Genomic DNA, 15,563 nt, shown 5'->3' on the forward strand with positions numbered 1-15,563 from the left:
GCCACCGCACCTGGCCCTATGCAGACTATATTAAGAGAGAAAAAGTAAAAATTAAACTTTGCAATTGAATGAAATAACTACTATTTCTACAACACACATTTTCACTTATGATCCATAATGCCTTCTATGTAATTCAAAATTCCAGATATTTTCTAACAGAAAATTTCTCCCTGTTATGAGTCTGCAAAATTTATATGAACAAGGCTATTTATATTTTGTCTCTCTTCCACCTAGTGTAAATCTTCTTGTATTTTGCTACAGATATACTCATGTGTTTGATGGCAGGTGCTACCCCACACCTCTTAGGGATTTACACACTGTATGGTGTAAATACATTACCATCCTACTAAAATCCAAATGATCATGAATTCCAAAATACATCTGGCTCAGAAGGTTTTGAACAAGCAATCGAGGCACTGTCTAAATCCAACAACGATGAATAAATTTTTTCAACATTTTACATGTTTAATAGTTAACATTTCTTCAGAAGTCATTTTTATTTTACAAATTACAATAAACAGCATATTTAATTTGCTAAACAGGAAAAGAGTATGCAGTTATTAAAAGTTGAATTAAAATGGCTCTCATAAATCAATCTTCAATAATATGCTTATATAAAACCATCTTTAGGTTGGGCACAGTGGCTCAAGCCTGTAATCCCAGCACTTTGCGGGGCCGAGGTGGGCGGATCCTCTGAGGTCAGGAGTTCGAGACCAGCCTGGCCAACATGGCAAATCCCCATCTCTACTAAAAATACAAAAATTAGCCGGGCATGGTGGCACGCCCGGCTACTCAGGAGGCTGAGGCAGGGAGAATCACTTGAACCCGGGAGGCAGAGGTTGCAGTTGAGCCGAAATCACGCCATTGCACTCCAGCCTGAGCGAAAGAGCGAGACTCTGTCTCAAAACAAAAAAAAAAAAACAAAACATCTTTGGTCAGGCATGGTGGCTCACGCCTGCAATCCCAGCACTTTGGGAGGCCAAGGCGGGAGGATTGCTTGAGTCCAGGAGTTCAAGACCAGCCCTGACAACACACTGAGACCTCATCTCTACACAAATATTTATTAAAAATTAGCCAGGTGTGGTGATGCACACCAGTAGTCAGTCCTAGCTACTTGGAAAGCTGAGATGGGAGGAACACTTGAGCCCAGGAGGTTGGGCCAGCAGTAAGCCATGACTGCAGCACTGCTCTCCAGCCTGGGCAACAGAACAAGACCCTGTCTCAAAAACAAATTCTTTTAATCAAAAATCAGGTTTTATCCTATACCACATAAATAGAAAGAAATCATTAGAAGAATTTCCACCTGCCTGGGCAACATAGTGAGGTTTCTGTCTCTACAAAAAAGTACAAAAGAGGCCAGGCGGGGTGGCTCATGCCTATAATCTCAGCACTTTGGGAGGCTGAGGTGGGCAGACTGCCTGAGGTCAGGAGTTCGAGACCAGGCTGGCTAACATGGAGAAACCCCGTCTCTACTACAAATACAAAAATTAGCCAGGCATGGTGGCACACACCTGTAGTCCAAGCTACTTGGGCAGCTGAGGCAGGAAAATCGCTTGAACCCAGGAAGCAGAGGTTGCAGTGAGCCGAGATTGTGCCACCTCACTCCAGCCTGGGCGACAGAGCAAGACTCTGTCTCCAAAAAAAAAAAAGCCAGGTGTGGTGGTGTGCACCTGTCCCAGCTATTTGAGAGGCTAAGGTGGGCGGATCACTTGGGCCCAGGAGGTGGAGGCTGCAGTAAGCTGTGATCGCACCAATGCATTCCAGTCGGGGTGACAGAGCAAGACCCTGTCTCAAGAAAAAAAAAAAGAAAGAAAAAAAAGAATTTCCAAGGGGGTTTGCTTCCTTGTGATTATGAAGGGCTAGACGTATCCTATTCAAATCCAGAACAAAACAAGACTATTAGTAAACATGACTACTTAACATAGCTCTGTCATACTAGCTAGGACTATACAATGTTAATTTTTTAAAGTTGAAATATGGAAAAAGAAGATATCAAATTACTTATTAATTGGGGATGGTGTTGTATCTATAATAGACACGAAAAATCCAATGAAATATTATTAGACTATAAGATATCTGCACAGTCTCTGAGTAAATACTCCTATGCCAAAATCAACACACTAACAGCAACAATTAAACAATGTGTAGCCTGAGGTTGGATCCTCCACAGTGACCAAAAAAACCAACAACCCGTGGAACAAGTTTAGCAGGCAGTGTACACGACCACCAGAGGGAGGCAGAGGGCTGCTGAGACCTGCCAGGAAATATCAAGAAAGAGGACACAGGGTCCTGAGCACTGAGAGAGATCATTAGGGCCCTCAGGTCCCAAGAAGACAAGACCATACTGGGACCTGGGACCTAAGGAAGATAAGAAAACACCAGATGTCGGTCCTTGAGGAAGCCAAGAGAATACCTCCTTGTCCTGAGCTCCCAAGGAAGATGAGAGCACCCTGGGCCCAAGGATGGGTGGCACACACCAGGTCCTGGACAGCTACAGACTTAGGTTTCCTCTCCCTAGACATGAGCACCTCAGCTTCCAGGAGCAAACTGGACCACAGGGGGACACTAGGCAGAGGATCCTGCTCCTCCTCCCCAATGCCTGGGGTACAGTTAGCCCTGATCATCTCTCCAGAACTAGGGTAGACGTTTGGCCTCATTCCCATCACACTTGTGGTCCACCTAGTCTTCCCTCCTTCCCCTTGCACACCCCTGACCTTCCTACTCCCTTCCTCTAATCCCCAGAACTAGGGTGGACGTTTGGCCACGTTCCCATCACACTTCCGGTCCTCCGAGTTTCCCTCCCCTCCCTGACCTTGAGTGGACACTTGGCCCTGTCCACCCTCACTTTCAGGCAGGACCCATCTCCCAGAAACATAAGTGCCGTCAGTCCCAACTCCTGCACACTTCCGGCTCTCCCAGTCCTCCCCTTCTTTCTCGACTTTGAAACTGGTGGAACTTCAGTACCTCTCCCCACTCCCCCCGCGACTTCCGTCTTCCAGTCCCCCTCCTTCCCCAAAAGTTGCGTGGACTCTAGCCCCGCCTCCTACATTCTCCCCGCCCTCCCTGTCCCCGCCCCTCCACCCAGATGGACGGCCAGTTAGGCCCGCCCCCTGCACTTCCGGCCCTACCCGCCCTTCCTCTTCCCAAGGGACGTCATAATTAATCCCGCCCCCACCGCCACCCAACCAAGCATCACCCATTCCAGCACTTCCGGCCTGACCCCTGTCCAGCGCCTTTCCTTTCTCCAGCTTCTGCTCTGCCCCAAGAGTGGTCGCCTTCGTGGCAGGGCACGACTCTCTCCCAGCTCGGGTCGCCGCCCACATTAGTGTGGGGCCCTGCGGCCTAGCGTCCCTCACCAGAGGCCTCCCCTTGCCTAGCTGGACCGCCGAGGGACATCGACGAGTATCCTCCTCCTGCTGTCCCCGGCTTCGCCTGCCGCCCCTAACCGGCCAGTCAAGATGGCCGCCGCTGGGTGAGGCAAGCTGGCGCGCCGCGGGGGCGTCTGGGAGTTGTAGTTCGGGACGGCGGGCTGACGCACTTCGCCGCCGGCCGACGGGCGCCATTGTGCGGCGCGCGCCGGGTGAGTGCCGCGCGAAACCTGCGTCCGTCGGGGGCTGCGCTGGGCGGGTCCAGAACCGTTAGTTGGGGGCGAGCGCGGCCTCTGCATTTTCCGCCGAGCTCGGGTACCCTGAGCCGGCCGTGCCTGCAGTCCTCCCGCCGCTCTGTGGGATGGGGTCGGTGACCCGGAACCCCGAGGGGAGACAGTGCTTTCGGGGCGCCGCGGTGGAGAGAACAGATCGCCTCCGGAAGCGTGGGGTCTGGGCCAGGGAGGCGATCCCCTCCGATGCGCGGGACAGAGGAGGCTCGGTGTCCTCTCGGGGAGGGGAAAACTGGTCCTATCCAGTCCTGTGGGAGTCCTATGACTCACTCTGGGCGTTTTCCAGTTTGGGTGGACTTGTCATTTCCCGCTGAGGGAGCCGTTCCTGGGCGGAGGCTGCGGTAGCTCCCCAGCGGACACCTTAAGCCTCTCCCTCCCCTCCCAACTTCGGTTTCCTCAGGACTCTGCCCACTTCCACCAGAGACACATTGAGAAGGAGGAAACTATGGCCTCCAGGCTTCCGACGGCCTGGTCCTGTGTGAGTAGAGGCTTCCTTCAGCTTTTGAGTCCGCTACTGCACCTGGGAGGATGCGGATGGTGGTGAGATACCACCTTCCCTGAGATACCCCCATCCTCCAGAGCACCTCGGGGAGGGGGTAGAGATTGGTTGGGCATGAGAGATCCTGCGTGATGGTGGAACCGCAGGTTGCTTGGTTTTCCAAGGGTGTAGTTAGAATAGAGACCAGATTGTAGGGGCTTCTGAAGGCCAGGTTAAGGCTCTTGCTTGTATCCTTTATATTGGGAAGAGTAATTGACAGGTCTTTTGTTTGTTTGTTTTTTGTTTTTTGAGATGGAGTCTCCCTCTGTCGCCCAGGCTGGAGTGCAGTGGCGCGATCTTGGCTCACTGCAACCTCCGCCTCCTGGGTTCAAGTGATTCTCCTGCCTCAGCCTCCCCGAGTAGCTGGGACTACAGGCGTGTGCCACCATACCCAGCTAATTTTTTTTTTATTTTTATTTTTTGTGTGTGTTTTTTGTGGAGACGGGGTTTCACCATGTTGGCCAGGCTGGTCTGGAACTCTTGACCTAAGGTGATCCGACCATCTCGGCCTCCCAAAGGTCTATGCAGGGATCAGGCTTATGTTTAGATTTCAGCAGATAAATTGGCATCAAGCAAGAGGTGACAGCAGCAGAGTTCAATAACAAGTAGAAAAGACAGGTGAGGATGGATCCCTGACAGGTGAAGGAGATAGAAAGAAGCATCAGGGCCCTGGGTAGGGGCTGACGGCTTGGGTGTGATGGTGCAGCTCAGAGAATTCCCTAGGAGGCATACGCACCACTCCCAAAGTCAGAATTTTCAAATGAATAAGAAATAGGGGGCCGGGCGCGGTGGCTCACGTCTGTAATCCCAGCACTTTGGGAGGCCGAGGCAGGTGGATCACGAGGTCAGGAGATTGAGACCATCCTGGCTAACATAGTGAAACCCCGTCTCTACTTAAAAAAATACAAAAAATTAGCCGGGCGTGGTGGCGGGCGCCTGTAGTCCCAGCTACTCGGGAGGCTGAGGCAGGAGAATGGCGTGAACCGGGGAGGCGGAGCTTGCAGTGAGCCGAGATGGCGCCACTGCACTCCAGCCTGGGCGACAGAGAGAGACTCCGTCTCAAAAAAAAAAGAAAAGAAAAATAGGGCCGGGTGCGGTGGCTCACATGTGTAATCCCAGCACTTTGGGAGGCCGAGGCAGGCAGATCACAAGGTCAGGAGTTCGAGACCAGCTTGACCAACATGGTGAAACCCCATCTCTACTAAAAATACAAAAATTAGCCGGGCATGGTGGTATGCGCCTGTAATCCCAGCTACTCAGGAGGCTGAGGCAGGAGAATCGCTTGAACCTGGGAGGTGGAGGCTGCAGTGAGCCAAGATTGCGCCACTGCACTCCACTAGGAGACAGAGTGAGACTCTGTCTCAAAACAATAAATAAATAAATTAAATAAATAAATAAATAAATAAAATGGACAGATTTTCATATGCTACAGAGATCTCATGTGTTGCTCTCCTTATTGTAACCTGAATAGAGTCAAGCTTGGGTTTGCTTGGGGTTTCAGACAAAGACAGGAACTCAGGATGAGACTCCCAAAATGCCCTTGGGTCATCTTGTAGACCATTCTGTGCTTTCACTGGCCTGGTCAGCCTCCCCTGTCTTTCTTTTGTCGTGGATGCGGATGGCCTGTGGCTGAACAAGAATCTGGATTTTTAGGAACCAGTGACCTTTGAAGATGTAACACTGGGTTTTACCCCGGAAGAGTGGGGACTGCTGGACCTCAAACAGAAGTCCCTGTACAGGGAAGTGATGCTGGAGAACTACAGGAACCTGGTCTCAGTGGGTAAGGCTGGCCTCCAGGTCAAGAAGGATCTGTGCTTTGTAGCACAAATGTAGCACCTCTGAAGTATGTGTCTGCTTGGGCTCACACTGCAGGGGCACCAGTAGGAAAAGGGCAGCTTTTCAGTATGACTTCTGAATCATTGCCTAGTCCATCCCTCCCTGAATACCAGGGAGATGGGTCTGTCAGGGATGTTTTCAGCTGCAGTAGTGGATGCTTATTGTTCTTGCAACAAGAGTTCCGGCCAGGCATGGTGGCTCACTTTAGGAGACTGAAGCAGGAGGATTGCTTGAGCCCAGGAGTTTGAGACCAGCATGGGCAACATAGACCGTGTCTCTATTAAAAAAAAAAAAAAAAAGAAACTCCACAGAAATTCCAGACAATGCGATGCCAGTGTCCCAACAGCTTAGGAGTAGCATCAAAGAGCCTGTCCCTGCCAGGCACGGTAGCTTACGCCTGTAATCCTGGCACTTTGGGAGGCTGAGGCAGGCAGATCAGTTGAGGTCAGGAGTTCTAGACCAACCTGACCAACATGATGAAACCCTGTCTTTACTAAAAATACAAAAATTAGCCGAGCACCCCAGCTACTCAGGAGGCTGAGCCAGGAGAACTGCTTGAACATGGGAGGTGGAGGAGATTGCAGTGAGCTGAGATCAGATCACAGCACTCCAGCTTGGGCAACTGAGCAAGACTCCGTCTCAAAAAAAAAAAAAAAAAGCCTGTCCCTTCAAACTCTGGTTATTGTGAACCTTTCCATGTTCCCCCTAGTCATTGCACAGCTGTGGCTCCAAGCATTGCATCTGTGTTCAAGGCAGAAACAAGGAGAAGGGGTAGCCCTTTCACAGCTGTCATGTTTAACCAGAAAGCAAAAGCTTTCCCAGCTGACCGATCTCCCTTTGTGTCTGGCTGACCAGAACTGGACCCCTTAGCTGCTTGGCAAAGGAGTCTAGGAAAGCCAACAACAGGGATGGATGGAGTTGTGTTCACTGCTCTAGGCCAGAAGTCATGTGCCTTAGCAGGGGAGAAGCTGGAGACGGCTTGTGCTGCAGTAGGATAGCATTTTCTCCTGAACACAGACCCCCACAAGCCCTGTCTCTTTTCCTTTGAGCAGAACATCAGCTTTCCAAACCAGATGTGGTATCTCAGTTAGAGGAGGCAGAAGATTTCTGGCCAGTGGAGAGAGGAATTCCTCAAGACACCATTCCAGGTGAGAACCAGACATGGGAAGCCCCCACAGGGAAGGGGCCAACTGATGAGTCAGGGACCAGTATCTTGGAAAAGCAGTAGACATTGGGATACCCCAGGTGGGATGCTGTGATGAGCAGTTGCAGAACCAAACTCGAAGTTTTTCTCTGGCTCCACAGTCAGCAGTGTCCTACTTGGTTGAAAGTGAACCTGTTGCTGGTGGCAGGTGATACTTGTGTTGACAGTAGGGGCTCCCTTAGTCTGTTACACGCATTGTCTACTGCCCTCCCCTCATAATCACTGGTAACCCTGGTGTGTATTTCCAGCCAGACTTTCTTATATAGGCTTACGTGAATGTATGTGAATATATATACACATTTTGGGGGTGTTATAATACAGACAAGTCAGCTTCTTTTTGTTTTGGAGACAGGGTCTCTGTCACCGAGGCTGGAGTGCAGTGGCATGATCTCAGCTCACTGCACCCTCCGCGTCCTGGACTCAAGCTGTCCTCCGACCTCAGCCTTCCAGGTAGCTGGATCTATAGGCATGTACCACCATGCCCGTTTAATTGTTTTTTTGTAGAGACAGTGTTTCACCATGTTGCCCAGGCTGGTCTTGAACTCCTGAGCTCAAGTGATCCATCCACCTCAGCCTCCCAGAGTGCTGGGATTCCAGGCATGAGCCACCGTGTCTGTCTGGTCTGCTTTATTTTATTTATTTTTTGAGATGGAATCTCACTCTGTTGCTCAGGCTGGAGTGCAGTGGTGTGATCTCAGCTCCCTGCAACCTCCGCCTCCTGGGTTCAAGTGATTTTCCAGCCTCAGCCTCTGCAGTAGCTGGGATTACAGGTGTGCACCATGACTCCAGGCTAGTTTTTGTATTTTTAGTAACGGACGGTTTCACCATGTTGGCCATGCTGTTCTTGAACTCCTGACTTCAAGTGATTCACCCACCTTGGCCTCACAAAGTGCTGGGATTACAGGCATGAGCCATTGTGCCCGACCTCTGCTTTATTCTTAACAGCTTCAGTGTGGTCCACATTTGATTTTTCTTCTTTTGGTGGACATTAAATTTACTGCAGAAAACTTCCTTGCATACTTTTTTTTTGCACGAACAAGTTGGTTTTTCTGTAGGTTGGATTTCTAAATATGGAACTACAAGATCAGCCAATGTTGTAAACTAAAAATCTGGTAGTGACAAATTGCCATCTCAAATCCTTTAAGGCCAGGCACAGTGGCTCACACCTGTAATCCCAGCACTTTGGGAGGCTGAGGTGGGAGGTTGTTTGAGACCCTGTCTCTATAAAGAAAATAAAATAGGACAGGCACGGTGGCTCATGGCTGTAATCCCAGCACTTTGGGAGGCCAAGGCAGGCAGATCATTTGAAGTCGGGAGTTTGAGACCAGCCTGGCCAAAATGGTGAAACCCCATCTCTACTAAAAATACAAAAATTAGCTGGGCATGGTGGGTGCCTGTAATCCCAGCTACTTGGGAGGCTGAGGCAGGAGAATTGCTTAAACCCAGGAGATGGAGGTTGCAGTGAGCAGAGATCATGCCACTGCGTGACAGAGTGAGACTCCATCTCAAAAAAAAAAAAAAAATATATATATATATATATATATATATGTAAAAAATAGATGTGTGTGTGTGTGTGTGTATATATATATGTATATGTATATATATATATATATATATATATATATAAATCTTTAAAAATAGGCCAGGCACCAGGGGCTCATGCCTATAATCCCAGCAATTTGGGAGTCCAAGGCAGTAGGATTGCTTGAGGCTAGGAGTTTGAGGTTATAGTAAGCTGTGATCATGCCACTGCACTCTAACCTGGTTGACAGTGAGACCCTGTCTCAAAAAAAAAAAATTAAAAATCCTTCAGCCTACGTAGAGTTGGCTGAAGTAAATGACAACTCTTTTTCTTCTTTATCAACAGCAATTTGTAATGGTCTTTTTAAGGTTTGCAGATCTGATGGGATAAATACAATATGTTCAATTTAGTTCACATTTTCCGCACAACGGACCAAGTTGGACATATTTTATAAATCTATGGCCTGTTTGTATTTTTTCTTTTGTGAGTTCATATATTTTCTCATTTTTTTCTTGTTTGTGGGAATTCTCTATGTTCTGGATGTTAATATTGAAATATCATATCCCAGACCATATATTGTCTACCTTTATGTAGTCTCTATACAGAAGTTTTATAATTTCTTTTTCTTTTCAAATATGTCTTTGTTTCTGTTTTAGATTCTGTATCATATATAGGTAGATTATCCAAACACTTTAGTGTGTTGTGGTATTTGTTATATACCTCGAACTGCTGCGCTCAAGCAGTCCTCCTGACTCAGACTCCCAAAGTGCTGGGATCACAGCACTTAAATTTTTTTCTTTTTAGTTCAGTTTATCTGGAATTTCGTTTTATATATGGGTGGGGTTCATCCTCTGCTTATTGGAAATATCATATTTGTCATGGGCTAAATAGCTGTCTTTATATACTGGCCTCTATGGGCTCTCCCTTGATCTTTTCTGTCTCTGAGTAAATGCCATGTTACTGTACTTTGATATATAGTAGTTCCCCTTGTCATTTAAAAAAAAGAAAAAGTCTTAGCTGGCTTTAGCGATCTATTTCTCCAGATGAACACTTATTCTCAGCTTGTCAGTGTTCATTGAGAAAATCTTGTTGGGATGTGTATTACATTTAATTAGGTTTTCATTATTACTATTACCTGATCAGGTTAATCCTGCCTCATGGTCTTGCATAGTTGTTCCAGATGAACCTGTCATGCTCTTAAATTCTTTGATCTTTTTTGGCCGGGCGGGCACGGTGGCTCACACCTGTAATCCCAGCACTTTGGGAGGCTGAGGTGGGCAGATCATGAGGTCAAGAAATCGAGACCATTCTGGCCAACATGGTGAAACCCTGTCTCTGCTAAAAATACAAAAATTAGCTGGGCGTGGTGGTTCGCACCTGTAATCCCAGCTGCTTGGGAGGCTGAGGCAGGAGGATCACTTGAACCTGGGAGGCAGAGGTTGCAGTGAACCCAGACTGCGCCACTGCACTCCAGCCTAGGCGACAGAGCAAGACTCTATCTCAAAAAAAAAAAAAAAAATTTATCTCTCTCTTTTTTTTTTTTTTTTTGAGATGGAGTCTCCCTCTGCCACCCAGGCTGTAGGGCAGTGCGATCTCAGCTCACTGCAACCTCCATCCTCTGGGTTCAAGTGATTCTCGTGCCTCAGCCTCCTGAGTAGCTGGGACTACAGGCATGTGCCACTATGCCCGGCCAATTTTTTAATCATCTGTAACAGTTGTGTTACATCATGTAGTTGTATTCATCATGGATAGTATATCCAAAATTGTGTGAAGCTCAGAGTTTAAAGAGTTGGTATCTAGTCTCTGACTTAAATGGAAAAGTTTCTAGGTTTTGATGAGCTTAATGCTAGATTCTGCTTTGATTCAAATCAGTTTTATCTGGATTAACAAATAGTCATGTTGTCTTTCCTGATGAATAAAAATCGGTAATATCTTCTATTTCCCTTCTAGAGCATACTAAAGTGGTCACACAATTCTTCTCCTTTGAGCAGTTAACATAGGAGTATAATAGATGTAGAAGTTTTGTAACGTGCTGCTGGAGTCTTGAATTTTTAAAGGGTTTTTGTGTCAGTATTCATAAATTATGTTGGGGAGGTGGTTTTCTTTGTGTGTTTGCTTGGTCAGCTTTTCTGTCAGTGTGCTGAATGCTTTCCCTTCTCTTTGTTTTCTGTGCTGTGGTGCAAGTGGCATCAGAACTGCCCACTTCTGGCAGTATTGAGCTGTGACATCTGCACCTAACCCCCATCCTTGGTGATGACCTGTTTGCCACAGAATAGAGGGCTAGAGTCTTTCTCTGTGACTCTCCCCAACCCCCAACCTTTCTGGGGGCCCTGTTTCTGATTTCTTCGTATTTCAGCTTCCTGGCTCAGCATTAGTATTTTGGTTTTTGTTTCCACATTCAAAGTTTTTCCTTCCATTCCCTTCACTGAAAATCTTTGTTAGCAAAAGAGGTCACTAAACTATTTCATCTGCAAAGTCTCCAGCAATGCAAGTACTTTGTATCTGCCTGCAGTGGTTTCTGTGCCCCTTGGTTTTTGAGACAGAGTCTCACTCTATCGCCAGGCTGGAGTGCAGTGGTGCCATCTCAGCTCACTGTAACCTCTGCCTCCCAGGTTCAAGTGATTCTCCTGCCTCAGCCTCCAGAGTAGCTGGGACTACAGGTGCACACCACCACGCTCAGCTAATTTTTTGTATTTTTAGTAGAGACTGGGTTTCACCATGTTGGCCAGGATGGTCTTGATCTTTTGAACTTGTGATCTGCCCACCTCGGCCTCCCAAAGTGCTGGTATTATAGGCGTGAGCCACTGCCCCCGGCCCAGCCTCCTGATCTTCCTTTTGGTCTTTATGTCTCTGGATTACTCAGGCTGTGACAAGTCTGCGTTTCATCCTTCTTGGAGCTGAGGACTCATGTCCTGAATGGGCAAACCTCCAGGCCATACACTTCTGGATGATCTGGTAGTATCCTAAATCTGGCTGATGTCTGGGGCACTGTGGGTGCCACACATCTTGGGAGAGCTGACTCCACAGGTGACAGATTCAGGGTGGTGTCCCAGAGTCAGAGGCCACATGAGGGGAGGCTCATCAGGAGGTACTGTTGCAGTCTCAGCCTGAGGTGATGGGTGTCCAACTCATCTCTGCTCTGTCACAGAAAGAGTCCTTAATTAGATGCTGTCCTTCCTCTTCTCCTTCTTCCACCTCACAGATACTTATGGAGGGCCTTTTCTGTCCCATGCAATATACTTACTAAAAACTTCGGTGATAAACCAAAGCACTTACATAATCTCTACCATCTTAGACTTCATAGTCTAAACAATGATGGCCTTTTACAAACATGTTACACAGATACAGTGATAAATGTACTGAGAAGGAAAAAAGCCTGATATAAAGAAGGGGAGCAGTGGGGAATTACTTCAGAAGACCTAGTCAGGGGACACTGCAGGGGTGAGATTTTAGCCAATTCCTGAAGGAAAATAAGTCCGTGGACATATAGGATTGGTGGTGAAGACAGCTTCTAGGCATGGAGGCACCATTTGAGGTGACTGTCAGATGGGAAAGAACTTAGCATTTCGAGGGCCACTTCGAGCCTAGTGGACTAGGAGTAGGTAAAATGAAGGGATGTGACATTGCTTTTCACAGCTCACTCTGGGTGGCTGTGAAGAAAGAATTGTGGTATGTCACAGATTGGAGGCAGGCAGGGCCCGCAGTTATACTTGGTAATACCTGCTAACATGTGGTAATAAGTGGCCTGAGAGTAACAGCACATTTGGGGAAAATCAGGTGTGTGTGATTCATAGGTGGACTCAGTGGACCTAGGTGAGTGATTGAGAGGGATGAAAGAACAAGCCATCAAGAATTTCTCGTAGGTGACTGCGTCTAACATATTTCATACGTAAAGTCGGACCTCCTGCACATAACAAAATCCACAGATGCTCAAGTGCCCAATATAAAATGGTGTAGTGTTTGCATATGACTTACTCACATCCTCCCATATAGCTGAAGTCATCTCTAGATTACTTATAATACCGAATATGATGTAAATGCTGTGTAAGTAGTTGTTACACTGTTTAGGGAATGGTGACGAGGAAAAAAAGTTTGCACATGTTCAGTACATTTGCAGCCATCTTTTATATATTTTTTTGAGTTGAGGTCTCACTCTATGTATCACCCAGGCTGACGTGTAGTGGCATGATCATGGCTCACTGCAGCCTTGAACTCCTGGGCTCAAGTGATCCTCCTGCCTCAGCTTCGTGAGTAGCTTGGACTACATGTGTGCGCCATTACGCCTGGCTAAGTTTTATATTTTTTTGTCACCATGTTGCCCAGGCTGGTATCGAGCTTGCCTCAAGCAATCCTCCCCGCGTCAGTTTCCCAAAGTGCTGAGATTACCGTCTTTAGCTACCATGTTTGGCACATCATTCATTTTTTTTTTTCCCTCAAATATTTTCAATCCAGAGTTTGTTGAATCCACAGATGTGGAACCCACAGAATATACAGGTCCAACTGTACATTCTTTTTGTCACTATCTTTTTTCTTTTTTTTTTTTTGAGACACAGTCTCGCTCTGTTGCCCAGGTTGGAGTGCAGTGGCACAATCTCGGCTCACTGCAAGCTCCACCTCCTGGGTTCACGCCATTCTCCTGCCTCAGCCTCCCGAGTAGCTGGGACTACAGGCGCCCGCCACCACGCCCAGCTAAATTTTTGTATTTTTAGTAGAGACAGGGTTTCACCGTGTTAGCCAGGATGGTTTCGATCTCCTGACCTCATGATCTGCCTGCCTTGGCCTCCCAAAGTGCTGGGATTACAGGTGTGAGCCACCGCGCCTGGCCTTTTTTTTTTTTTTTTTTTTTTTTTGGAGAGTCTCGCTCTGTCATCCAGGCTTCTGTAGTGCAGTGGTGCAATCTCGGCTCATTGCAACCTCTGCCTCCTGGGTTCAAGTGATTCTCCTACCTCAGCCTCCTGAGAAGCTGGGACTACAGGACTGTGCCTGTATGTGTCCATCGCTTCTTTTAAAAATATGATAAAGGGACCAGGTGTGATGGCTTATGACTGGAACCCCAACACTTAGGGAGGCTAAGGTGGGAGGATCACTTGAACTAAGGAGTTCAAGACCACCTGACAAACACAGCAAAACGTCATCTCTACTAAAAATAAAAATAATAAGCCAGATGCAGTGCTGCATCCCTGTAGTCCCAGCTACTTGGGAGGCTGAGGCAGGAGGATTGCTTGAGCTTGGGAGTTTGAGGCTGCATTGAGCTGTGATTGTACCACTGCACTTCAGCCTGGGCAACACAGCAAGAAACGGTCTCAAAAAAATATATCTATATCTATATCTATATATCTATATCACATATGAGATAAAAGGGTCAGATGTGGTGGCTCACACCTGTAATCCCAACACTTTGGGATGCCAAAGCAGGAGGATTGCTTGAGGCCAGATGTTTGAGATCAGCTTGGGAAACATGGTGAATACAAGTCTCTGCAAAAAAATAACAAAAATTAGCTGGGTGTGGAGGCAGGAGGATCACTTCAGCCTGGGAGGTTGAGATTGCAGTGCACCACTGCACTCCAGCCTTTGTTTCAAAAATATGTGTGTGTGTGGGTGTGTGTGTGTGTATGATAAGGGAGAACAATTATTTCTGAGTTTTTGGCATTAGCCAAGGATGTGGGGATGTCTGGTAAAGACCTAGACTTTGCTGAGGGGAGGAAATAAGGGGTTTGTGTTTTCTGTGTTTTTTGTGTTTTGTTTTTTACCTTTTTTTTTTTTTTTTTTTTTTTTTGAGGCAGGCTCTCACTTTGTCACCCAGGCTAAAGTGCAGTGGCCCCATCTCACATCACTGCAACCTCCACCTCCCAGGTTCAGGCAATTCTCCTGCCTCAGCCTTCTGTGTAGCTGGGACTACAGGCACCTGCCACCACACCTAGCTGATATTTTGGACTTTTTAGTAGAGACAGGGTTTCACCATGTTGGCCAGGCTGGTCTCAAATCCCTGACCTGAAGTGATCCTCCCACCTGGGCCTCCCAAAGTGCTGGGATTACAGGTGTGAGCCACCACACCTGGTCTGTTTTTTACTTTTTGTGTTGAAATAATTTTTAATCTTTTTCTTCGGCCGGGCGCGGTGGCTGATGTCTATAATGCCAGCACTTTGGGAGGCCAAGGCGGGTGGATCACCTGAGAAGTTCGAGACCATCCTGGCTAACACGGAAACCCCATCTCTACTAAAAATACAAAAAATAGCCGGGCACGGTGGCGGGCGCCAGTAGTCCCAGCTACTCAGGAGGCTGAGGCAGGAGAATGGCATGAAGCCGGGAGGCGGAGCTTGCAGTGAGCTGAAATAGCACCTCTGCACTCCAGCCTGGGCGACAGAGTGAGACTCCATGTCAAAAAATAATAATAATAATAAATAAATAAATAAATAAAAATACAAAAATTAACTGGGCATGCTGGTGTGCACCTGTAGTCCCAGCTACTCGGGAGGCTGAGGCAGGTGAATCGATTGAACCCAGGAGGTGGAGGTTACAGTGAGCCGAGATGGTGCCACTGCACTCCAGCCTGGCGACAGAGTGAGACTCTGTCTCAAAAAAAAAAAAATACACATATATGTGTGTGTATATATGTGTGTGTATATATATACACACTAATAGTATGGATAACTCAATAGCTTTCACATTGATTGAAGTTTTTGAATTGTCCCATGTCTTAACTGATTCTTGTAATGACAGATGAATGAGAAGGCACCATAGAGACACTCAAGGGTTTGCAAATCCAGTCGAATACACCTATTTAGACCTAAGAAGGAGATCCACA

General features: G+C 47.3%; 1 protein-coding gene across 12 annotated transcripts in view, besides 5 other annotated features; it reads left to right on the forward strand.

The window, feature by feature from the left end:
- Positions 2,810-3,523: an enhancer, noted in NCBI's record as "NANOG-H3K27ac-H3K4me1 hESC enhancer chr19:58694039-58694752 (GRCh37/hg19 assembly coordinates)". NCBI's record gives its function as "activates a minimal SCP1, AML or CMV promoter by ChIP-STARR-seq in naive and primed H9 embryonic stem cells {active_cell/tissue: H9 hESC(naive and primed)}" and the evidence as "EXISTENCE:reporter gene assay evidence [ECO:0000049][PMID:30033119]".
- Positions 2,810-3,611: a biological region, named in NCBI's record as "NANOG-H3K27ac-H3K4me1 hESC enhancer GRCh37_chr19:58694039-58694752".
- Positions 3,192-3,611: an enhancer, noted in NCBI's record as "active region_15179". NCBI's record gives its function as "activates an Ori minimal core promoter by ATAC-STARR-seq in GM12878 lymphoblastoid cells {active_cell/tissue: GM12878}" and the evidence as "EXISTENCE:reporter gene assay evidence [ECO:0000049][PMID:35858748]".
- ZNF274 (zinc finger protein 274) overlaps positions 3,199-15,563 on the forward strand; it is a 30,502-nt gene continuing 18,137 nt past the window's right edge. For 3 of the 12 annotated variants that reach the window (XR_007066543.1, XR_001753589.3, XM_017026175.2), the window contains exons 1-3: positions 3,537-4,136; positions 5,850-5,976; positions 7,085-7,180. Coding sequence is in view for 7 of the 12 variants with exons in the window: in XM_017026175.2 (XP_016881664.1) it covers positions 4,104-4,136; positions 5,850-5,976; positions 7,085-7,180 (256 nt within the window). In the remaining 5 variants the exon portion in view is untranslated. Of the gene's footprint in view, positions 4,137-5,834; positions 5,977-7,084; positions 7,181-15,563 lie in introns of all 12 variants that reach the window. The other 9 variants (NM_133502.3, XM_047438078.1, NM_001278734.2 and 6 more) reach the window with 8 other exon arrangements.
- Positions 3,524-4,235: an enhancer, noted in NCBI's record as "NANOG-H3K27ac-H3K4me1 hESC enhancer chr19:58694753-58695464 (GRCh37/hg19 assembly coordinates)". NCBI's record gives its function as "activates a minimal SCP1, AML or CMV promoter by ChIP-STARR-seq in naive H9 embryonic stem cells {active_cell/tissue: H9 hESC(naive)}" and the evidence as "EXISTENCE:reporter gene assay evidence [ECO:0000049][PMID:30033119]".
- Positions 3,862-4,051: an enhancer, noted in NCBI's record as "active region_15180". NCBI's record gives its function as "activates an Ori minimal core promoter by ATAC-STARR-seq in GM12878 lymphoblastoid cells {active_cell/tissue: GM12878}" and the evidence as "EXISTENCE:reporter gene assay evidence [ECO:0000049][PMID:35858748]".

The sequence above is a fragment of the Homo sapiens genome, chromosome 19, assembly GCF_000001405.40.
Source record: "Homo sapiens chromosome 19, GRCh38.p14 Primary Assembly".
Lineage (NCBI taxonomy): Eukaryota > Metazoa > Chordata > Mammalia > Primates > Hominidae > Homo > Homo sapiens.